Source organism: Homo sapiens, chromosome 5, assembly GCF_000001405.40.
Source record: "Homo sapiens chromosome 5, GRCh38.p14 Primary Assembly".
NCBI classification, from domain to species: Eukaryota; Metazoa; Chordata; class Mammalia; order Primates; family Hominidae; genus Homo; species Homo sapiens.
In genome coordinates, this window is record NC_000005.10 from 38,459,399 (window position 1) to 38,482,506 (window position 23,108).

The following is a 23,108-nucleotide window of genomic DNA, read 5'->3' on the forward strand; positions in this document are numbered from 1 at the left end:
CCATCCTGACTTCTGATTAACTTTGGATGAATCATTCCTTTGCTCTTCTTTATATAATAGTTTTACTATTAATACCTTTGTCCATATTTCTAACAACATATTTTCAGAAACGAAATAGCAGGCTGAAACTTAGAAATGTCAATCTCGCAAGTTAGATGAAGGTCCCAGGAGAAGATAAGCTGAAATGAAGGTCTGGTTGGGGTTCCCTGAGAATTTATCATAACCCTTTCTGGGGAAGCCAGTGGGTAAAGTCATGAGTGAGGCCTGGGAAACATGGCGCCCACCATGGCTACTTTCCTACTCAGCTCCCATATAGGCTGCAATGGGGAGAGACTTGCTGGGCCCCCAACCCCTGGCTGCTGGGCCCCCAACCCCTGGCTGCTGGGCCCCCAACCCTGGCTGTTGGGCCTGCCTTTGAAACCCTAGAGGAAATGGGGATACAGAGGCAGATCTGTGCCTCTCAGCTTCCCAGATGGTCTAGAAAGCCCTTGAGACAGAGGTTGATTTTGATGAAGTCTCAACTCTAACTTTCTGAAAAAAGAAATGTTGTCCCATCATGAATATCCACATGCTTGGATTTCAAATAGTTTCTAGACTACAAGTTAAAAATTCAGAGCCCAGCCTAACTCCAAAATACTCCAAACTCTATGGCTTCTAACTTCTTCATTTCTGCCTCTTACCCATCTTTAAAGGGGCTTGGCCAGAGACATCCAAAGGAATATGAAATGCTTGAGCTCTTTACCTCTAACCACACTTGATCCCTACAAATCCCCACCCTGGGAACATCAGGGAACAACACCCTTCTCCCAGTTTCCTTGGGTGGAGATCATTGGTAGAATACTCACACATTGTGGAATAATTTTTAAGCCTTCCCAGTTGTTGTTGGGGTTTGATTATGTGTATCAAGATACACTCTGGTGAGGATACCAGGCACTTCCTAGACATCTAAGGAAACTGATGTTAAATGATCTTCCCCTAGACTATACAACTGTTTGTGGGAAAAGCCAAGATTAGAATCCCAGCTCAAAGCCCTTTCCATCCTACCCCATGATGAAACCCACCCAAAGCTAGGATTTCAGATGTTTGGGAGGGATAAGGCAGTGGAATGTTCTACAGGAAGAATTTCACATGTCAGAGTGTCAAGCTGGGCACCATGCAGATGGCTTAGCAGACTTGGCTTTTCCTGTTGGCATCATGGATACCTCTGCTGGTGGGTCTTAGGTTGCAATGAGGGCTGAACAGAAGGAGTCGAGCCCAGGAACTAGATGAATGGGAGGATTCCAGCAGATACTGTGAGTTGTGAGCAGACAGGCCTAGAAGGGAAGAGTTCTCAGGGGGAACTGGGTCAAGGCCATGGATATCAATTATGGCAAGAAGGATTGAGCAGATACCTTAATTCTCTGTAGCAGGCTCCAGGGTTAGAGATAGGAGTGTCAATGAAAAGGAGATTGCCCAGGGGGCCTTGCTTTGGACAGTGTCTTGCTCTGGGGCATCCTGCTCTTGCAGGCATTAATCCCAGCAGAAAAGAGAAAATAAATTCCAGTTTATTAAACATCTCCAGTTGCCAGGTACTTTTCATACTTTGTCTCAATATTCACAGCAACTTAGGTTTTATAATCTTCATTTTATGGATAAAAATGATAATGATATTGATAACAATAACAACACACTCCTCTACCAGTCTTTATAGAGCAAGATGTGTATCAGGTATCATGCCCTGTGCTTTGTACGCATAACATCTGATCTCCACAATAATCTCGGGAGATGGGCATAGCTATTCCCATCTTAGGTGAGGATGCTGAAGCTCCACAGATTCACTGTTCATTCATCATCTGGGATGAGCCTTATATCATTCCAGACACAGGAGATACCTCATTGAAGAAAATTAACATCCTTGCCTTGATGGTCTTGCATTCTAATGGGAAGCAACAGACAATAAGTAATAAACATGATAAAGAAGCATGTTATTATGCTAGAAGGTGATGCCACATTTTTTCAAATCTAAGATGCCATTGATTATAAGGTATATCTTCATTTTAGATATAAAAAATGAAAAACTCTTAGACTTTATGAACTAGAGTAAGTAGAAAAAAATGGAATATTTTAGAGTAATTAATTTTTTTTTTTAAAGGCAGGGCAAGCAAGGCAAGCTGTTGCGGGTTCTGCCTGTCACAGCATTCAGATACAGGATTCTAAGAAAGCACTTCCCAAATGGGAAGTTTGTGGTCTCAAAGATGGGGACAGAACAAGAGAAAGTTCTGTAAATCTCTAGAAGAGTTGCTATCAAGAAGTGAAGCCTGAGTGAGTCCACCCCCTAGTGCTATAGAAGCAAATGTATTTGCTTGAACAAGGCTCATGGGGCTGGATAGGTTTGAAAAATAGCTTTGAAAACTACAAAGCCCTTGCCACCAATGAACACCTCCCTCTTCCTGTCGTCAGAGTCACTTTAGGGCTCTGTGGGTCCTTTAGAAACTTCTGAGCCACTGGCCGGGTGCAGTGGCTCACGCCTGTAATCCCAGCACTTTGGGAGGCCGAGGAGGGCGGATCACTAGGTCAGGAGATCGAGACCATCCTGGCTAACGTGGTGAAACCCCGTCTCTACTAAAAAAAATACAAAAAATTAGCCGGGCGAGGTGGCGGGCGCCTGTAGTCCCAGCTACTCGGGAGGCTGAGGCAGGAGAATGGCGTGAACCCCGGGGGGCGGAGCCTGCAGTGAGCCGAGATCGCGCCACTGCACTCCAGCCTGGGCGACAGCGGGACTCCGTCTCAAAAAATAAAATAAAATAAAATAAACAGAAACTTCTGAGCCAGTCTTCCCATCGAATGATCTTATACCTACAAAAACTGCTTCATTGGCTTCTCATTGTACTTAGAATCCCAGCTCCCCATGGCTTCCCATGCCTCGCCACAAGCTCTCCTCCCCTGGGCTTCACCTGAAATTTCTTCCCTGGCCCGCTGTCACCTTCAGGATAAATTCTCAACTCCTTACAAGCGGTTGACCGTTTGCTTGGGGCTTCACCTTTCCCAGCCCCAGTGTTCTGTGAGTTCCATCTGTGCTAACCCCTGCTCTTTCTCTTTGCTGTTGTTGCTTTCTCTGTTTGCATAGCCTTCTCCTTCACTTGACTTACCTACCCAGCCTACAAGACTCATTTTGGACAGAATCTCCTCTGAGCAGCTTTTTCTGACCATCTCTCTAATAACTGTCCTCTCTCTAGTCTAAGTTAGGCGCTGCTCCTCTGGTGTAATTCCACAGCACCCTTGTGGTCTTCGCCGTGGAGTGCTGGCACTGTGTTGTCATTCACAGTTTGACTTTTTGTCTTCCTCAGTAGACCACAGGCTCCTGAGGGCCACACATTTGCTTTTTGCTTTGATTTCTGCAGCCCCATCATTTAGCACAGTACCTGGCACATAGTGTGTCCTTTAATACATTTGTATTGAAATGAATGAATGATTGAATGAACTCCAAAAATGCCAGGCTTTTTGTTCTTTTTTGTTTTGGTGTTTTGCAGGGATGGCCAGTCAGGAAAGATAACCGTGGATGACTATGGAGCCAGAACAGGCAAATCCCCAGGCATGATGCGGCAGCTTAACATCAATGGAGCTCTGTATGTGGGTAAGTGACCGACCCTCGACCAAAGCAAAATTAGGCCAGTGCTTTTCTTGTTAGTCTTCCATTTGCTGTGCCGAGGCTATGTACTTTGCTGGATCAAATACCTGTAAATCAGGAAGCCCTCCAGATATTCCATTCCTTCATTTTCTGAACTGCTGACTCATGGCTGAGGGGGCAGGAAGGGCTCCCTTCGATGCTTTTATGCTTTGGACAGATCCACCAGGAAAACCAGGCTTTTCTTGTTTATAGAACAGGAACCTGCTAAATATAGCTCCATGAGTTCTCTCTGACAAAACGGGACCTGTCTTTCTTTCCCCTTGCAGAATAGAATGACTAGTATTTCTGTAAATGGCTTATTATAATTAATTCACTAGTGCAGACACATAAAAATGAAAAGCTATTTTTATCTATATGATATTTTCTATTGAAAGCATTCGACATCAGTGCATTTGTTTTGGTTTAAGATGACATCACTTCTAACTACACACTGCATTCTGTTGACATTATACCACACTTCAAAATTTACTAGACACTATTTGGTCTCAAGGTGGTCAGTTGGGCCAGAAATCACACATGAGGAATGAATTTATAGCTTTTGATTGTGTAAAAACTGATCCAAGTCAATCTGTTCCTTCAAGGATAATTATAAAATTGAGAGAGGTGAGGTACTGAGCAGCTCAAGGGGCCCACAGCCCTCACATGTCCCATGAATCAAGGGATGCCTTGGCCAGCAGCCATTCAAGTGCCCCAAACTGGAACCCCGACCTTGCCCTGCGGACACCTGTCCTTTGGCTCACCTCATCTCCCTCTTGCTTCCTGGCAGGTGGAATGAAGGAAATTGCTCTGCACACTAACAGGCAATATATGAGAGGGCTCGTGGGCTGTATCTCTCACTTCACCCTGTCCACCGATTACCACATTTCCCTCGTGGAAGATGCCGTGGATGGGAAAAACATCAACACTTGTGGAGCCAAGTAACACCAGCTGGCCTTGTCCAAGGGACAGAGCCTTCTATTCTGAGAATCCCAGGGGCCCTCAGACCCTGCCTGATGCTATATGCAGAGGCCCAGGGACCAGGTGTGTTTCCTCTCACCAAGAAGAAAGTACACACTGATGAGAAACTGAGAACCAAGACAGGCATCCCTGGGTGGCCTTTCCTGCTGACACTCCACGAGCTGACCCAGCAGAATTCTCTGTGTAGGAAGCATCGGACTTTGTCCATTGAATATGTAGCGGCTGCCAGAGATCACACATCAATGCAAATTCCAGAGCCTGTCTGCTATAGCTCAGTGACTGTGTTGTGATTCATAGTACATTAAAAAGAGAGAGAGAGAGAAAGAATCCCACAGGGCACTATTAAAATACTTCTCTCCTTCCCTGACTCATGACACTCTTCCTGACAGCAGAATGACTGTGTGACCTTGAACTTCACATTTCCCACATTGGCCCTTGGATTGTTCGGATTAACCCCTTCCACTCCTCACTGGCTGGTTCACTGTGTTCTGACTAGTCCATAAAAATAAAGATGGAAGGAGATCAAACACAGAATCATAATCATAATGCGGCCCCCTTCCCCAGAGCTTACCTCGAATGTGAAATCCCTACTTCTTATAATGCAGAGTTAAGGAGCTGAGCCCCCATGATTTTGTAGCTGTACTTTTGTATGTGTATATTTTTATAGCTGCAGATTGTCCACACAGTATACTTTTGGAAGTTTGGGTGGATGACTCTGAATTCTTGCACACCTTTCCTAAAAATTTCTCCCAAGAGAGACTTGTTTGGGCCTTTTGTGGTGTCAGTGGAATGGATAGGTAACTTGGGTGGGCAACTTGGGGAGCTGACCATTCTCTTTTGGTAAATGTTGACGGCTCAAGAGGATGAATATGAAGCTTTCCAAGATAAGCAGATTAAAAGGAACATGTGTTACCGAGGTAGGTCACTGTCATTTTTGTTTTAAGAGTTGGGGGGAGTATCTATAGTAAACTTGAATAAAGGGGACAAAGCTAGAACTTATTCATTCATTCATTCACTTATGGAGTTGTTACTGATTTTGCGGAGGTCAGGTTCATACCAATGGACACTAATACAATCAGTGTTCCCAAGGCTGTGCAGGGGTGGGGGGACATGCTGTCAGGATGGTCTGAGCATCTGGGTGAGAACCAGAGAAACAGGACTTCTTCCTTCTGTACCATGAGCTGTGTCCCTTTACTATGCAAGCACATGACCCCAGAGACAGCTGGTTCACTGGCAGATCCCCATGATGGACTTACTAAGGGAAAGGTGAGATGAACACTGCCCCCAAGGAGGGGGTGAAATATGATCTAACTTATGCAAGAGCCTATAATTAGTCCCAGTCTCGACTCTACATTTGTTTGTGCAGCATTCATTCAGCAAAGACTTTTGGGGTTTGTGCAAGGCACAGTTTTAAGCACATAATGTAATTCTAAAAGATGAATAAACTAGAGAGGTTCACTTTGTGCCCCAATCTCCTGTCTTTGGGAAGCTTTGATGGCCAGGATCCTTTCTCCCAGAGGAATCATGGTTATCATCATCATCATCATCATCATCCACTCCTAGACACATAATCTTATATGAGTGCAGTCCGGAGAAAGGCCACATGGTAGAAAGTGGGTCCTCCACTTCCCAGACACCCTTGCCTCAACACCTCTTCCTTTGATACTGCTGGGGCCAGTGCTTCCCAAGATGTCATGGAGTTGCTTTTACAGGCCATTTTGATGGATTCCCTCCAGCCATACATATCATTGTGATCTTAGGCCATTCAGCTGAATTGAAGCTAGAAGAGCTGTTGCTAATGAGTTGTTGTTCCACGAAAGTGTTATCCAGAGAAAAATGCAATGACCCAGGGATGCAGGCCTGGGAGTAGAACCATTTGCCTCTGGGTGGGAAGCAGATGAGGCTAAGGGGAGAAGAGTGACGTGATGACAGGGTCAGGGGAGTAGGGATCTGACAGGTGAGAGAGCAGCAGAGTGGAGGGACCCAGGAGGAGCTGGTGACCTGGGAGGCTCAGGGTCAGAGGACAGGGTAAGAGACAGTGTATCCCATGTGGGCTCCTGGGTGTCCTGTTGTCTCTCTATGTGTATCTGCTGTCATGGCCACAATAATGCTGCATAACAAAAATCACAAAACTGCAATGGCATGCAGCAACGAGTGTTTATTCCTCATGCGCCTTAAGTGGTCAGCTTGGCAGCTCTGCCAGTCTTGGTTGGGCTTGACTAGGTGGATCTTCCGGTGTCCGTTGGACTTGCTCACACGTGTCAGGGTTGCTAATTCAGGACAGCCTTGGCTGGGTTGGTGAGGTGGCTTGTGTCTGCTCCGTGTGTTTCTTGTCCTCCTCCTGGGCTAATGGGCTGGCCTGAGCATGCCCTTCTCCTAACAATGGGGGAGGGCACGAGCACGAGAGTAAAGGTGGAAGGCCTTTCACAGCCTCGGCTTGGCACTGCCACACCCCAGTCATCTGTGGATTCAAGAGAGGAAGAAACGGGCCGGCCCCCACGTGACATATGGGCTCTTCTCCAGCATGAGAGAACTACCAAGCTGCCCGGTGGAGGGCATGGACTCAGGAGCAGTGGAAAAGCGTCACTGCTGATGCAATCGGTCTACCCCAGCAAGTCCTACGTCATTCACAGCAGGGTGCAGTAGGGAGGCCGTGACCCCCTGGCCATAGGTCTTCTCCGACCTTCTTTAACCCTTGGGGCTGGAGGCGAGGTCCATGATGTTCTCAGTGCCCAGCCAGGCCAGGCCTGATGCGAGCAGCACCCGCCCTCCCCCATCGCAATGCGGTGCCCTCTCTTCCCCTTGCCCTCCTTCCACATGCTCCCTGACACTTGGCAGCTGGCCCCGTTGCTGTTCTGAGGAGGAGGGACTGGACCGGCTGGAAGATGGGATCTGTGCCTGGCTTTTGGGTAGCCGCTGTGGGGAGAGCATGTTGAAGGCTGGCCAGGCTCTTGGCTGAAGAGAAAGGTTTGGGGTGTCGCCAGGGAGCTCAGAGGCTAACAGCAGTCCCTGTCCTAGGGAGGAAGGATGGAGTGGGGCACGGGATCCTGAAAAGCTTTTCTCCCACAATCAGGGTCTGAGGAAATTCCCCGGAACCTCCCACATGTTCGAAGCAAGGGTGACCGGGTGTGGGGTGAGGATGTCCTTGCTTTTCCTATTAAGATGGCCTCCCATAACCCTGCATGTTCCTGGAGGCCCCACCTCAGGATTTCTCTCAGGAAGGTCTGTGGGGGTCTTCTGTGTCCCCCTTCTGCGGCTGCCCAGGCAGCTGCCCCGGCCTGCCCGCCGCTCTGAAGGCCGTGCCACTCTCCCACCCTGGTATTTGTCTTTCATTTCCTGACCCAGTCCTGCTCCCTTCTCCCGGCCCTCCAACACAAACAGGCCGGCTGGTGTCCACACACAGACTGCCCTGCTGGCACGGGCACTGGCGCTTTCCTGCTGCTGCCCCCTCTCCTTCCTCCCTGCCCACCTCCTCCCCTGGCCCTGCAGGAGCTGCTACCCCCTCCCTGCGTGGGAGGAAGGAGCTCGGAAAAGCGCCCGGAGTTGGAGCTGGCAGGCCCAGGGCTTTCCACTTGGAGGAAACGCTGCATTTTTCACCTTTAACCCAGAAAAATATGGTTCTCAGAAAGCTTGTTTTTAGCACTGTGAGTTCCCAAAGGAGGAAGAATAGGCAGTAGGGGGGCCCCCAGCCTCTCTGAGCTCCGACAGCAACCCCCACCCCAGAAGGCCGTTCTTCCTGGGAGGGAATGACCGAGGGGCAGCCTGCAGAGGCCCAGCTCCGAGAAAATAAAGGCAGAGAATTCCAGCTCCAAGCGGAAAGACAATACTTTAGGAGAGGAGCCTGGACAAGGCATGAGCCGCTTCCCACCTCCTCCCTGCCTCTTCCAGCTCCTGCCCAGTCCAGGAACGCATAGTAGTTGCCCTTGGAGCTGGGGGTCAGTCCGGGCGTGCCCACCACCGCCCAGACCCTTAGCTGAGAAGGGGGTAAGATTAGCTTATCAAAGGCGGGAACGACGTTCTCCAGCACTTTCTCCCTGCAGTGGGGAGAGAGCTGCCAGCATGGAATCAAAATTAGAATCTGAAATCAGGGGTCGTACAGCTTTAGCCCACTCCCACGTTATTTGTCAACATGGAGATGTGGGTCGTCCGACGGTATCCGAACTAGGGACTTATCCGGCACACGCTAAACAGAGAAGGGAAATGTAAGCAGCCCTACCTCAACCATTGTGAGGCCAGAAGTCCCAGGGCTGCCGGCATTTAAGCTGGTGGGTCCCGTGGAAGTGACAGGCTGCCGTAAGGAAGTTCCAGCTTACAGGTGGCTATGTTCGGGCCAGCAAAATGACTAATCCAATGCAACAGCATCAGCTGGCTTCTGGGCTAGGCCCTGTGAGTAACCGCACCGCAACCTCACAGTCAAAGAATGTTCACATATTTGATCTTCATAACAGTCCTCCTCCTATGATGGCTGGAGCAGATGGGCATGGCCTATTTGACTTAGGAAGACAGACACTGGCCACAAAGACTGGGTGACTTGCCCATGGTCCCATCACGAGGACGCAGCCACGATGCTGTCCCGTGGAGCTTTTCTGCCCTCACCCTGACCTCTGGTCAGGTGCAGTCTGCCCAGGGACACCCGCATTGTTGAGGGACATTCTGAGGCTCCCTTGGGTTAGCTGTCGTCTGCAGTATAGTCGTGTAAGTGAGGGAGATTCGGACAAAGGCCATGTCCCAAGAGTCTGCTTGCCAACGCATGCCAGTTTCTCATCACAGCCCTGAATCTGCCTTCTTTCAAAGGCCTTCTGTTGCAGGGACTCTGGGTTGAGCAAATCTGAAAGCAGAAACTAAAGAGCTAGTCCAGCAGGGTGGGATTCAGGCCCCTCTACGGGCAACTGGGTGTAGGTTAAATTCTTTTCCCTTCCCTCCTTTGCTTTCATCTCCACAAATAACCTCCATAACCCTGGGGAGTGGTTGCAAGCTATTTCTGCCCAGCAGCGTGTTCCCCTGGGCCCCTGCCTCGCCCCAGCCAAGCCACGAGCTGAAAGAACAGGGAAGGCAGCTGGGAAAGGCCTCCCCTGCCGCTCCTCTTCTTCCCGCTTGCTCTTGCTGAGGCATCTTTGTCCTAGAAAGTTCGTAGCTCCCAGGAGCACTTGCCATTTCCTGGAAAGACGGGAGAGAGAACATTATGTCTCAGCCCCTGGGAGGATGTCTCTTCTTTTCTATTTATCCATCTTGTCTTTCAGTTTTGCTCAAGATGCAAATGGTGTCCAGAGGCATAGAAATTTCCCAGCATGTGGCATGGCCTCCCCCGATGTCCCAGCTGCTCACCTACAAGCCAGGGCCCAGCCCGGGGCTATGACCTCCCCGAACAGCCTGCTGCCAAGGGGCTGCAGTTCTGACTTGGCTAGGAGAGGACTTGAGTTGGAATGTCTCTTCGAAGGAAGGCCAGGGAGGCTCAAGAAATTTGCCGTTTATACTCACTTAATAACAAAAGTAAGAGGCACCAGGCCAGGGGCTTAGCTAAGGAAAGCCCTGTTAGGAAATTGGCCAAAAGAAAGCGGAGGCAGAGAAAATGGACTATGAGGCAGAGAGAGCTGTGGGAGGAGAGGGGTATGGGGCCGCAGGGGTCGCAAGGCTCAGTGCGTGGTGACTTCCGGCCCTGCCGGTAGCATTCCATGTTCTCACTGAACGTGGGGTTCAGAGAGCAACTGTGGGGGTTCAGAATGAAATGGGGGGCCCTGTCTAATACAGTGGAAAGTGGAACACAAGCCGATTGCTTGTCCAGGTCACATTCACACCACCTCAGAAATGAAAGAAGCCTGGGCGATCTCTGTTCCAGCTCCACACGGGGCTAGAGAGGTAAGAGGATGTGCCCAAGGCTGGGGGCCTTATCCATGTGACTGCCTCTGGCCTGGAAGCTGGGAGCCCTTGGGAGTGGGTTGGGAGGCTTTGGGGGTGGGGAATGGAGGGTGAGGAGCGGATGGCCTGCGGGCCCTCGCAAGGATTACTGTAGTTGCCCCCTCCAGGCACTCGCCCACACAAGGTCGGTTGACATTTCATTGACACTCACTGAGGACGAGCTATTCACAAACCAGCCCCTGGCCAAAGTGCCAGTGAGGATATAAAGGATAGAGAGGACTCAGCTCCCCCTGTCAAGGTGTCGCCTGGGCTGTGGTCTCACCTGAGGCTCACTTGCTCTTTGTTTCTTCAAAGCCAGGGGAGACTTTCTTTAGGCAGGGCCCAGTCCCTCTCATAAGAGGTCTCCTCAATAGGTCGCCCACCCAGGATCATCGCCTATTAACTCCAAGTCAACTGATAAGTAGCCTAATTATGGGAGTGACAACACACCATTTCCACAGTTCCATGCAAGCATCTCGGGGGCCTTCGTAGAGTCCTGCCTACCACAACCCTGATCAACTCTAACTTTCAGTCTCTCCCACCTCCAGATGATACCTCCCCAAAAACCAAGTTCATTTTCCTAAAATGCACCCTCTGTCCTGTGCCATCCCAACTAAAGGCTATGCCACGGTCAGCTGTGTCCCTAAACAATGAGTCAAACACTCATAAGATAAGGGGAGTTCTGTTCTCAGAGAGCATAACCGTACTTAAAAATTCCTATTTATAGTTCCTGAAAATCCTGTGTTCCTGGGGTCCAGGGACCCTTTGCCATGACTAAGGACCTAGGCTGGGGTACAGTTGATGGTGTGGGTGCCCAGGGGGATTGAGGAAATTGTCAGGCAGCTGCCCTTTCCAGTGGCCACTCAGCATGACCCCAAGCAGCCCACAACTTAGAGGAAATAGCAGGGAATCCATGGAACTCTGCATCAGCATCTTTGGTAGCCAGTTACTTATAAAAGACAGTATTTTATGACACAGAAAAGTTGGTTTGGGTGTTTTTGTGTATAAGGTGCCAATGGCTTTTAGTATGAAATTCAGATGTCAAACTAATGCCAAACACTTTTGCTTGACTTTCAAAGTTATCCATTATTTAATGAAAAGTATGAATATAGAAAAATGTCCAGAATACAGAATAGTTCATCCATACATTGGGATTTCATATATCCATGAAAGAGTACCATATATGAAAAGATTTTCAAAATATGTGAAATAAAAATTCAAGTTCCAAAACAGAATCTACAATTCTTTTATATATGCACACATATACATATATATGAATAGACATGTACATATATACACACACATATTCACATAGGAAAATATTTCCGAAAGGATAAAAAGTAAAATGTTGAAAAGACCTAATGCTGCATAAAAAGATTGCGTGGGCCCAGCATGGTGGCTCACCCCTGTAATTCCAGCACTTTGGGACGCTGAGGCAGGCAGATCACGAGGTCAGGAGTTCGAGACCAGCCTGGCCAACATGGTGACACCCCGTCTCTACTAAAAATACAAAAAATTAGCCGGGTTTGGTGGCATCAGTCTGTAGTCCCAGCTACTGGGGAGGCCAAGGCAGGAGAATCGCTTGAACTCCGGGAGGCGGAGGTTGCAGTGAGCCGAGATCACACCACTGCACCCCAGCCTGGGTGACACAGCGAGACTCTGTCTTGGAAAAAAAAAAAAAAGATTGTGTGATTTCTTTTTCTTTTCCATTGATTTTCTAGTTTTTCTTCAGTGAGTATTTTTTGTTCTGTCTACTCAGGATATCACCTCTTTTGGAGGGACTCATCTTTCTCCAACTCTTGTGAAAATGTCCTTTGAATAGAACCTATGTCCAGCCACAGGACTGAACCAGGAATGAGCACATGACAAGCCAGGCCAGAGTGCTCGCCAGATCACTGTGAGGACTCCCCTGATGGCAAGGCCATAAGCTTGGAGGAGCCTGGACCATGGGCCCAGCTGCTTGAGGAGGTCTTGCTTGAGGGAAGAAAGTTTTGTGTGTAAGGAGATACGTGTTATTTCCGGGTGGAATAGGAGACTACAGTGGTGTGGCCTGAGGAACATGCCAGGGCTTACCTGCCCACAAACTAGATGCCTGAAATATCAAAGCCAAGACTATCTTCCAGAGAAGCAGATATGCAGTTTGGGGAAGAGGGACGGGGGCCAGAATGGATCACTTGGTCATGCAAGTTGTCCATACAAGTTGGAAGGATATGGAGAACCTAACCCACAGAAAATGAAAACAAGGTTCAAATTGGGGAGGAGATGGCAGAGGGTGGAGGTGACAGACAATGTGTAGAAGGACTCTAACCTGTTGTCACTTCGGATAAAGGCCATTTATCTCCCATCTGCTGTTGTCAAAGAGGTAAGAAGGTAAGAGTAAATTTCTGTCTAGGGAGAATAAGGTAATTGCATTCAACACATCTTAAGCATCTACTTACTACAAGGCAAGATGGCCCAAATCTGGGGAAGGAGCTGCTTTGAGCTACTACAGGGAGCCTCCCATCCTTGTCCTTAACCAGGGTTCCCTTGTCTTGCACAGTCTGAGACTATCCCGCAAGGGATCACCCTCTGTAAAATAACATATTTCTAATAACCAGGGAAACACATTAAACCACGTTTTTCTCAAGGCGCATTTAAAGAATATTAATCAAGCACCTGAGATGTGGCAGATCCTGCACTAAGCTTCATGGATGTAAGAGCCCGAGACATTGTTCAATTCCCATTCCCAAATCAAGCGTTAGGATCGTGCTTGGTGCCGTGGGGACACACAGGCCTGGGAAGGCACAGGACTGAGGGCCTGGCGATGCTGGAAAAGGCTTCTCTGAGCCAGCAAGGCCTAAACTGGGCCCTGCAGATGGAAGAAGTCATCTAAGTGAAGCCCTTGTGTTCACTTTGTGGGGACAGATGCCATGGCTCCCCTGCAGGTCCTGTGCTGTGCAGCTTCTCTCTGTGTAAATGGGAGAGATGACCTAAGGAGCAGCTAAACAAGTGCGGAGGCATTTATACCTTTAAGGCCTTAGGTGTTCCTGTAGTTTCTGAAGAGGCATGGGTAACAAACATCCACTGCTGGGAACATGATGTACTCTGTCTAATCCTCCCCAGTCCTGCAAAGGTGGGCATGAAGAGCCACGTTTCAGAGACGAGGAAACGGGGAGAGGCTGAATAACTCTCCAAAGCTTATCCTGATAGTGAGTTGTGAAGCTGGGATGGGAGCCAGGCCTGTGAAGCCTCCCGCAAGGCAGCGGCTGACTCGGAAAAGGTGTGAACCCAGCCTCAGCCAACACAGGAAAGGAAAGGAGCGACAATGGTAATTGAGGAAATTAGAGTCTAGGTTCCATTCTGAAGGTGTCATGTTGCCTGCACTGGTAATTGGGCAATTTAGGACTAGGAGGGTCCATCTGTTCTCAACACTCTGCTTCCTCAAGGCTTTCAGTCCCTGGCTCGCATCAACTCCAAGGATGGTGTAGGTGAGGGGAGTATGCAAGTGCCTCTAGAGCTGGAAGAGGCTCAGCCTCGAGCAGAGTTACGGCAGGCTGAGGGCAGGAAGGGGAATAAAGATTTGTTTGAGCTGAGGCTTGACATTCTTTCATAACTTTGGAAGGTTTGGAGACAGAGGTTCATACACTGGGATTGCATTCATTTTAATGCTGTTTCCACTTAAAAGGTTTTTTATTTTTTTATTTTTATTTTTATTTTTTTTTGGAGATGGAGTTCTGCTCTTGTTGCCCAGACTGGAGTGCAGTGGTGTGATCTCGGCTCACTGCAACCTGTACCTCCCAGATTCAAGCGATTCTCCTGCCTCAGCCTCCCGAGTAGCTGGGATTACATGCACGCACCAGCACGTCCGGCTAAGTTTTTGTATTTTTAGAGATGGGGTTTCACCACGTTGGCCAAGCTGGTCTCGAACTCCTGACCTCGTGATCCACCCGCCTTGGCCTCCAAAAGTGCTAGGATTACAGGCGTGAGCCACTGCACCTGGCCATCACTTAACAGTCTTTCTCAAGGTCATCCTCAAAAGCTTTTCTTGTCTCTAATCTGAAACTAATCACCCAGGGATAAAATCATCTCCAATTTAAGCACAAATCAGTTCAAGGCATCTCTTGTTATTTCATCTTCCCTGGGACCAGCACAACGAATATTTTCAATTCAGTTTTATTGTTGATCACTCCAGGAGAAAGCTAGTAAGATCAAATTTATAAGCCACTAATAACAAGCTATTATTATAGTTCTTTTGTGAAGAACTTATTTGTAAGCTAACATTTTAGTTGACATTGAATACCTTTAAACATTTTTTTCATACATGTCTATTTTTTCTCCCAATAATCTCATCATTCTTCTCTGATTCTTTTTAAAAGTTCCCGGGGTTGAGGGTGCTATACATCTTGACTCAAGAACTCACCATCTGGGAAACAAGTTATGCATTGAGAATCCCCAAAGAACAGGCTATATGTATGAACTTCCTAGCACTTAAATACTAACATGCTTTTTACAATTGAGTTGGTCTGCAGTTTCTTCTGGTTAAATCCAGGCCCATTCATGTTTCAATCTGGCTAAGTCTAGGCTATACATATGACTAAGGACTTAATTTCTCCATTTAAGAACATCTATTTAAGATCACTTTATACTTTAAAATTACTGGTTTTGCTAAATCTGTGACTGTATTTCCTAATAGGGTGAAATAAAATTTTGATACATTCTCAGAATCTTCAGGAATTTTAAGCTATTTTCAGAGGACATAAACTAAAAACCATTACTTTAAAGACCAGTATTTATTATTTATTTGCTAATGTTGGATTCCCACTATTTGATTATTTTGATGCTAACTTCTCAGGTAAACAATAATGACTTAATGGACAGATGGATGTTACACCAATGGCACAGCAATGTACTCAAATGTTAAAAATACATCCATAGCGCTATGTGATTGCTTTACAACCACTGTATTTCTTACGGGATAGAACAAAAAAATACAACAACAAAGCAGAGCCACTTCTCCTAAGTGTGTAACATGGGGAAAAACCCAATAATGCCCAAGTCTGTCAGTGTAAGATGTAAGAAAATATATTTATTTTTTCCATGACAATACTATGATAAAATTGTTAAATACATGCATGTTTTAAAAACAGACATAAGTAACATCTTTAGAGTTAACAGCCAAGCATACTAGTTTTACATTTATGGTGTTTTAGTAATAGATTATTTTCTATGTTTTTGCTATAATCATGTTTTCCAAAAGATACAGAAACTAAATTCTGAAATTATACAATGATATAAAGTGTCCAAATTTCCCATTCTAACAGCAATTTAAAATCCAAATTTTCACAAGGCAGGAAATGCTTCAGTTATCATCTAAGTGGAGTTGTTTTATTCCATATTACTCTCAGAATTCTGTGAATCAGACTGAATCACACACATGTACTTCATCTATAGTTTTCTTCCTGTATAAGTGTATTGAAATGTTTCCTTATACGATTAAACATGATTTTAGGTACAGCACATCACAACTGTTTATTCACCTTAAAAAAATGTCTGTAGTGGTAACATTTCAAGAAATGAAAAAGGGAACAGTTTGGGATCCGCAGTTTCTCCCTATCTTCTTTCAGCTACATTTACAAGCATTTGACCAAACAAAAATTAGTAAACAGTTACTAGTATTTATAAAAAACTTAAAATATTTAACATATAATACTCACTTTAAAAAAACATTCATTCTACAAACCTTATAAAAGACAGAAACTTATATCTGTTCACAGTATGTGTATTTTGTAAACAGTAATTCACTATAATGCAATTTTGAAAGTAAAAAAAGGTAATTTCCTAGTGTTATAAGGACCTTGACTTATGGCCAGCTAATGAAAGAGAAGAAAACCTAACATCCTTATTAGGAAAGTTAAGTATTTTGAAATGATTTATTTTACCTTTCAACATACTTTTAAGATGGTACTATCTTAAATCTAGGATGTCTATCTATCCAGGCCAATCTTTTGCAAGCAATTCTGAATTTAAATGTATTTAAGAAAAAGCCGTGCTCTTTTTTGAGAAAATAACAGGATAAAACAAACGCCAGGAAGGGCATCAATCACATAACACCTACCCCTCCACAACAATGAAAGGTTTCTTTTTCGTGTTGTCTCCCGCTACTCACAATGTTATTCATATTTTTCCTAAATATTGTGTTGGAAGGAAAAATTAAATACAAGGAAACACTAGCTTATGATATATTAGACAATTTGGGGAAAAGCATTTGGAATCAAACTGGGAGAAGAATGTTTTACAAAAATTGTATGAAAACCATTATTCAGTGTTCTTTTCTATGAGCAATTGCAAAAACACTAATACTAATGTTAAACCTAACAGTTAACTTTTCCACGTTATAAATGAAAATTGTACTACCACCTAGAGATATTTTGATCTTTTATAATACACAACTGGAATGTTTAGGAAAATAGTTCGGAAGCTGAAAGTTACCCATTTAAAATGGAATAATTCTTAACGGAAGTACACTTTAAATGTATAAGGAAATTCAACAACTTAAGTGAGCCATTCAATCACGTGTGCAAAGTATTTTAGTCTTAAGGGCAACACATAGGATCTATGTTGTTAGCTTTTTTTTTTTTAAAGTTCTGATTGGCTACTGTAAAGGCAATCTTAGAAGATGCATGTAAATATAATATAAATCAACTTTCTTATCAATTAGACATTTTCCCCACTCACATCTCTTAGTTTTTAGGGTATTCAGTCCCAGCAACCAAAAAAAAAAATGTAAATCATATTTTGTTTCTGGCTAATGTTCAATCAGTTTTTCTTTTATAAGAGCTTTTGATGTACTGTTTCTACGGTTCTTTAGGCACTTACACATAAAAACATTCAGAGGGTTTTCCCCTTAACACACAACTTTTAATTCTCATGAAAATGTTGCACAGTTAGAATTTGTCTTGCATAGGTAAATTCTGTTTATAACATGGACTCTGATAATCCAAATATTAACATTCCTAATATAGGGAAAAATAAGCACCATTCATAGCTAAAAATAATAGAATCCTGTCATAACCCAATATCATAATTACAAGGATCTGGATATATTCTAGACCAAATCACACTCCCTGAAACATTACCATGTACAATAAAGCCTGAAATAGCCAACTAATTGAATGTTATTCTTAATCCTTTACACTGGCACTAAAAATAGTTCATCTGTAATAAGCATGAATACGACCATGTAATAATTAATAGCACTAATTGAAAAGGAATAAAAAAATCTAACCACCATAGCAAAATAAGGGGTTTAAGTATTATTAATAGCCCTGGTACATAATCCATAAAGATAAAAACGAACCAAATTCAAGCCAAGTAATTTCCAATGATATTCTAAGGCTAAGTCTAAAAGATGAATGTTCTGTAACTTTGGCCATAAATCATTTTCTTCTATGAAAATTTTCTTCTAGAATAAATAAGATGGGCATGACAGCATGAAACTTCATTTCAGCAGGAAATAAAGACTTAAAATAAATGCTTTCAAGAAATAGTTTATCAAGAGAATGAGTTCTGAATCAGTTAACCTCACACACGGACACACTGTTGGGCAGAACACATGCTGGCTGGTACAAACATGCCCCAGTTGCACACCCATCAAAGAAGAAGAAATTATGAACACTTAAAATTATGGAGAAATAAGATATCTAGTGATATACAGGCATGAGTCCTTCCTCAGTTTTCACTCAAACCGTGGAGTCACTTCCGAAGTAGATTTGAATCTTTGAGTCAATAGTCTCAGATCCACACAAGCTAGATTTTGGTGTGTATCACCCTTCAGGAAAATTCTGTTGAATCTGTGACACTCTGGGATAGGACTCAGTCAAGAAAATTAGTTACTGAGCTTTCACGATGTGCCTAGTCTTTGTAGCTAATAATCCCACATTTTACTCTGAGATGCCCAATTTTACACTTTCAAAATAAGAAAAAAGGCATTTCATAAAATGCACACAAATTTTAACATAATTCAAAATAGAGAATAGCAAAAATAACCTTAGAGCAAACAAAAAATTTTATTAGATTATATACCTGAGCAATAGAAAACTTCGAGATAACATTTTAAAAATATTGACACGTTAAGGAGTATTTTACTTTCAAAATACCATAAAATTGATTTTAAATTCCCTTTGGAAGAAAACATCCCCTAGTCTCCTTCACTAAATTACAAATAATTACCCAAATATAAAAAGGACTTGCAATGTTTGTTAAATATGGACGGCATGAAGACAATTAAGAAACTATAGGACTTATTTCCAACAAGAATACAATATGCATGAAGTTTTGAAAATGTGACTTTTTACCACAGTTTCTGAGAGTGTAATAGTACTAAATGTTCTAAATGTAATCTTTCAGATCCACGAGCGGTGAAAGTAATGCTGGTTTGGAAAATGAGGTTGATACTTCCTCTCTTAAGCTTCTCAGTGAATGGCTGCTTCTGTTTCTAAGCTGCAGGAACAAAGCACCTCTATCATATAAGCACATAAACACACAACTCAACTATCCAGATACTCAGGGCCACAATCTCAAATCTAGGGCTGTATAAATTCAACAAATTGATGACCTAGATTGCATACATGTGCTAATCTATGCAATATATGATTCACAAGGTTCATCTAATGTTAAAAGTCTAGCTAAGTCTTTAATAATTTAATATTAAATAAAATATTAATTATTTAAAATGGTCACTCATAAAAGAAATGTAGTCATAATAAGCCCCATAATGATCTCCATTCCTCGCAAGGGAAGCTTGATTTGAAACTGGCTTGTAAGTGAATTGACTTGTAAGAGAGGTAAAAATGTGTCTTACATGAATTACTATCCCACAGATATGATGGAACATAATGCTAGTTTGACAATTAGATTTTTCTAACCAATGACTGGGCTTTCACTGAGGAAAAGAGGGATTTCTCAATTATTTTCCCAGTTAGTAAGGGCTGGAGAGAACACATCTAGCCTCTGCTTCTAACTAGTCCTTAATTGTAGCTTCCAAGGGAGAAGCCACGAATCTAACTGGACAGAGCACAATCAGTATGAGACCACCTTGTAAATGCAGGCATGCAACCTTCATTGACAAACAGCGCACATTTACCAGTATCTCAGACAACTGAACATGTGACCAATCTCCTTCCAACTTCCCTCCCCTCTTCCCGTGTTGTTACTCTCCCTACACACACAGGTTGGGGGGAGTAGAGGTAATATCCTGGGATCTACACAAGGGTCTAGCTGTCTTGAATTCAATGAGGGAAAAGAAGGAAAACTGCTTTGGCCCCAGACATAAATCACATTCTTTTAAGCACACAGCAACTTATAAGGAGCTTGCCCAGACTTAATAGCGTTACTCTGCTTCTCATTAAGCTAGTGATCCTCGTGTAGGGGATCCAAAAGTAGGGGAAAGGTGAGTGATATTCTGCACTTTTTTCATACAGAAAAAAACAATGAAGTCTTGGATAGAACGAAAGGACTTAAGAGCCCCAGTGATATTCATCATTAACCAAACAAATGAGTCGTTATATAGGTTAGAAAGGGCCCTGGATCCAGATGGTCACAGTTGAAATGCATATATATTGACAGACAGAGATCAAACAATCTCTTCTGGCCTTTTCTCATTATCTCAGGTTAGCGCCGTTTAGAGCAATAAACTTTTACTGTAGCCACACTTATCCTTGTCCTGGAGAGATAAAGTACGGGATTGATACATTTCAACAGGGAACAAGGCAGGAGTTGAGGGCAAGCAGACAATGCTAACAGCAAGCTTTGGCAGGGAGAGAAGGCAGCCCCAGGTCTGATGTCTGGGGTGGAAGCTAAGGGAAGGAGCCAAAGAGGATACAAAGGAAGACAAGAGAACACTCTTTAGGGATGGCTCTGATTGGATATATTTTTCATTACTGAACATTTCTATGAACTATTATATAGTTTTAATATACTATGTATGTACAAAATGAATTGCATTTCATTCCAAATTTCCACAGATCATAAAGCTCAGAAATTTAGCTGAATCCTAGCAGTTAAAATCAGGATTCATACACAGAGAACCTAAATAGATTTTGTCACTTGTCACTCTGGCTTTTTTCCACAACATGGTTTTTAAAAAGATACAATATGAGCTTCAAAAAAAATTAATTGATCCATTATTTGCAAATACATTACAGAATCTCAGATGATAAAAAACAAACAAACAACCAAAAAAAACAAACAAAAAAGACATATCTTATTCGGACACTTAAAATTTTCAAGTACTTTTGCCTTAAATATGAAAAGGTAAAATACATAGGCAACCTGAGGGCAGGGAAAATACAAGATACACTTTTTAGTTTTTCCTTCTGCTTTTCCAAGAACCACAATCACTCCAGACATCGCTTATGAGAAACAAGGGTGGGCAGAGGATGCTGTGCTGAAGGCAATCAATTCTGCACAGCTCACCAAGCAATTGCTGCACCTGCAACACAGGTATGCCCATGGATTCAGATCAGTTTATGACAGTTACTAAGAAACAGCCCTTGGGTAACTGTTCCTGTAAGAAGCATTCTCTCTTTAGTTTTATATTTAAAAATGTGAGGACTGGATCAGATAATGTGGCATGATGAAAAGACTCATGAGTGGGAGGAACATCCACCAGAAGGTGTCAAAGATCACCACTGCCTGGGTAGCCAAGCTCAACGGCATGGTCTCCTCAGGAGGAACGAAATCCAATCAGAACTATATGGACAGCTAACGCTGCTAGATATTGCTTAGTAGTCATCTCACATAGTAAGTCACTGGAATTACATGCTTATGAATAATATTGAATTTGCTCATATAAAGCTGTCACTGTATCACAAAATAAAATGATTTTTAAAAAATGTGGGTCTCTAGTCTTAGAAGTGTAAATTTTAAATATTAGGGCAACCAACTGAAATAATGGAAGCAAGCATAAAAGCTAAAAAATAATGAAAAGGCTTGCAAAACCTATCACAGCAAGAAAACATGATTATGATTTGGGCTGGTCAGTGTCACACTTGTTTTCAAAGTTTGTACCCCTGAGACAACTGTTTGATAACCATTATACAGTAGGCACAGAAATAAGCATACTTTATCAAACAAAACACTAAATCGCTGTCACTACATTAAAAATTATATTAATTTTTGTGAATGCTGTGGATAGAGGAGAATAATCTTAGAAGTTTTAAAATCTGTGCTTGGTTTTCATCTAGAAAGGAGTAAACGTCAGGCAAATAAACTTCACCTGTTACTTGGACATTTTCTCCCTGGCCTGCAAATCCACTTACAATTCCACCAAGTATACACATGAGAAAACCACAAACAACAGAACAGAAAACAGTTGCGGCGGGATTTGTTTTACATGTACGTACAAGTAGGTATTAGCCTTGAAATGCTTCTTGAAGGTAGAGTACATGAGAATTCTTTGGCTTGATCACAAAGAGCTCCCAATCTTGAGTTTTGTGGATTGAGGATTCTGAGTCACTATACTTTGGCTTTTAGACTACATTAAAAGCACATGAACACTTTCAGTGTAACTTAACATGTAGTGAAGTTCACCTCCTAACAATACTTCACAGGATCCCTCCAAGAATGCCCAGTGCTGATGTAGCAACACTAGCAGTAAGAGCTTATTGAGATGGCTGACTGAAGTGACACGGTGACACTGTTAATCGTTTGGTTTGTTCTGAAAAAAGTTTGTAAAGGACCACCCTCCTCCATTAGATTTAGGAGAGTCTTCATCTTTAGGAGGAATCAAAAATTGTCGGGAATTAATGGAGCATGGACTTCCAAATGAGACAATCTCACTGTTGCTGTCTATGGATCTAGGAGAGTCTGGAGACACTAAATTCCATGTATTTACATTGGCCTGAGGTCTGTAACCCGCAGTTTTATCTAAGTCCTCTTCTGCAGCTATATCTTCCACAGTAGAATTAATGGGGAGGTGCATCTGTGGCTTATAGCCTGCCCCTCCTACAGGGTCATTTTCTTGTTCTTCTTCTGGTTTTGCTTGAGGCTGATACATCGACTGAACATCAATGTAAATAACCTGTGCAGTCCCTCCAGCTTCATCTGCGGCTGGGTTTGGTATTTCTTCCTCAATGATGGGTGGACAATAGGACACAACCACATGGTTTTCAGGCTCTGCATCAGAGCGATCTTCAGGACGCTCAGCTACTGGGGAAATTATTTCTGTATCTTCTATTTTAGGAAATGCTGATCGAGTTTCCAGAACCTCAACATTATTTGGGGTACAAGGATTCATTTCCAATGTTTTAAGAGCACTGCTTCCCTAGAAATAAATTTAAACACAGTGATTAAAAATAGCACTAAATGCCATTGCAATGCTCCTCCTATAAAAAGGGACACATTTTTCCCCAATCTGCTTGTAAACAGGTGTCTCTACTACTCTGTATTTCACACAACAGCACAGCCACTTTTTTCTTCCGTATCAGTATTTTCCTTGTTATTAATACTTGTGGGAGAAAAAAGAGCACTGTATAATTTAAAATTAATAATTTTAGAAACTGAGATGTTTTAAAGTATATAATTTTCCCAATACTTTTTAATTAAAATGACA

General features: G+C 43.6%; 2 protein-coding genes and 1 long non-coding RNA gene across 17 annotated transcripts in view, besides 3 other annotated features; 1 reads left to right on the forward strand and 2 right to left on the reverse strand.

Moving 5' to 3' along the window:
* The window catches only part of EGFLAM (EGF like, fibronectin type III and laminin G domains), a 206,922-nt gene extending 200,840 nt beyond the window's left edge, over positions 1–6,082 (forward strand). For all 4 annotated transcript variants that reach the window (NM_001205301.2, NM_152403.4, NM_182798.3 and 1 more), the window contains 2 exons: positions 3,510–3,613; positions 4,434–6,082. In NM_001205301.2, coding sequence (NP_001192230.1) covers positions 3,510–3,613; positions 4,434–4,588 — 259 coding nt within the window. In that variant the 3' untranslated portion in view covers positions 4,589–6,082. The remainder of the gene's footprint in view (positions 1–3,509; positions 3,614–4,433) is intronic.
* EGFLAM-AS5 (EGFLAM antisense RNA 5) overlaps positions 1–8,968 on the reverse strand; it is a 33,866-nt gene extending 24,898 nt beyond the window's left edge. Inside the window, exons 1-3 of one of the 6 annotated variants that reach the window (NR_199675.1) lie at positions 8,841–8,968; positions 3,715–3,868; positions 1,527–1,915 (exon numbers count right to left, since the gene is read on the reverse strand). This is a non-coding gene — a long non-coding RNA (EGFLAM antisense RNA 5). Of the gene's footprint in view, positions 1–1,526; positions 1,916–3,714; positions 3,872–6,767; positions 7,086–8,840 lie in introns of those variants that run through there. The other 5 variants (NR_199674.1, NR_199672.1, NR_199018.1 and 2 more) reach the window with 5 other exon arrangements.
* Positions 3,693–4,892: an enhancer, noted in NCBI's record as "BRD4-independent group 4 enhancer chr5:38463193-38464392 (GRCh37/hg19 assembly coordinates)". NCBI's record gives its function as "activates an origin of replication core promoter dependent on BRD2, P300/CBP, MED14 and CDK7 cofactors, and independent of BRD4, by STARR-seq in HCT116 cells {active_cell/tissue: HCT116}" and the evidence as "EXISTENCE:reporter gene assay evidence [ECO:0000049][PMID:35650434]".
* Positions 6,868–8,067: an enhancer, noted in NCBI's record as "BRD4-independent group 4 enhancer chr5:38466368-38467567 (GRCh37/hg19 assembly coordinates)". NCBI's record gives its function as "activates an origin of replication core promoter dependent on BRD2, P300/CBP, MED14 and CDK7 cofactors, and independent of BRD4, by STARR-seq in HCT116 cells {active_cell/tissue: HCT116}" and the evidence as "EXISTENCE:reporter gene assay evidence [ECO:0000049][PMID:35650434]".
* Positions 9,435–10,306: an enhancer, noted in NCBI's record as "H3K4me1 hESC enhancer chr5:38468935-38469806 (GRCh37/hg19 assembly coordinates)". NCBI's record gives its function as "activates a minimal SCP1, AML or CMV promoter by ChIP-STARR-seq in naive H9 embryonic stem cells {active_cell/tissue: H9 hESC(naive)}" and the evidence as "EXISTENCE:reporter gene assay evidence [ECO:0000049][PMID:30033119]".
* Positions 15,270–23,108, reverse strand: part of LIFR (LIF receptor subunit alpha) — a 133,736-nt gene continuing 125,897 nt past the window's right edge. For all 7 annotated transcript variants that reach the window (XM_017009463.2, NM_002310.6, XM_047417172.1 and 4 more), the window contains one exon: positions 15,270–22,820. In XM_017009463.2, the coding sequence (XP_016864952.1) occupies positions 22,197–22,820 (624 nt within the window). In that variant the 3' untranslated portion in view covers positions 15,270–22,196. The remainder of the gene's footprint in view (positions 22,821–23,108) is intronic.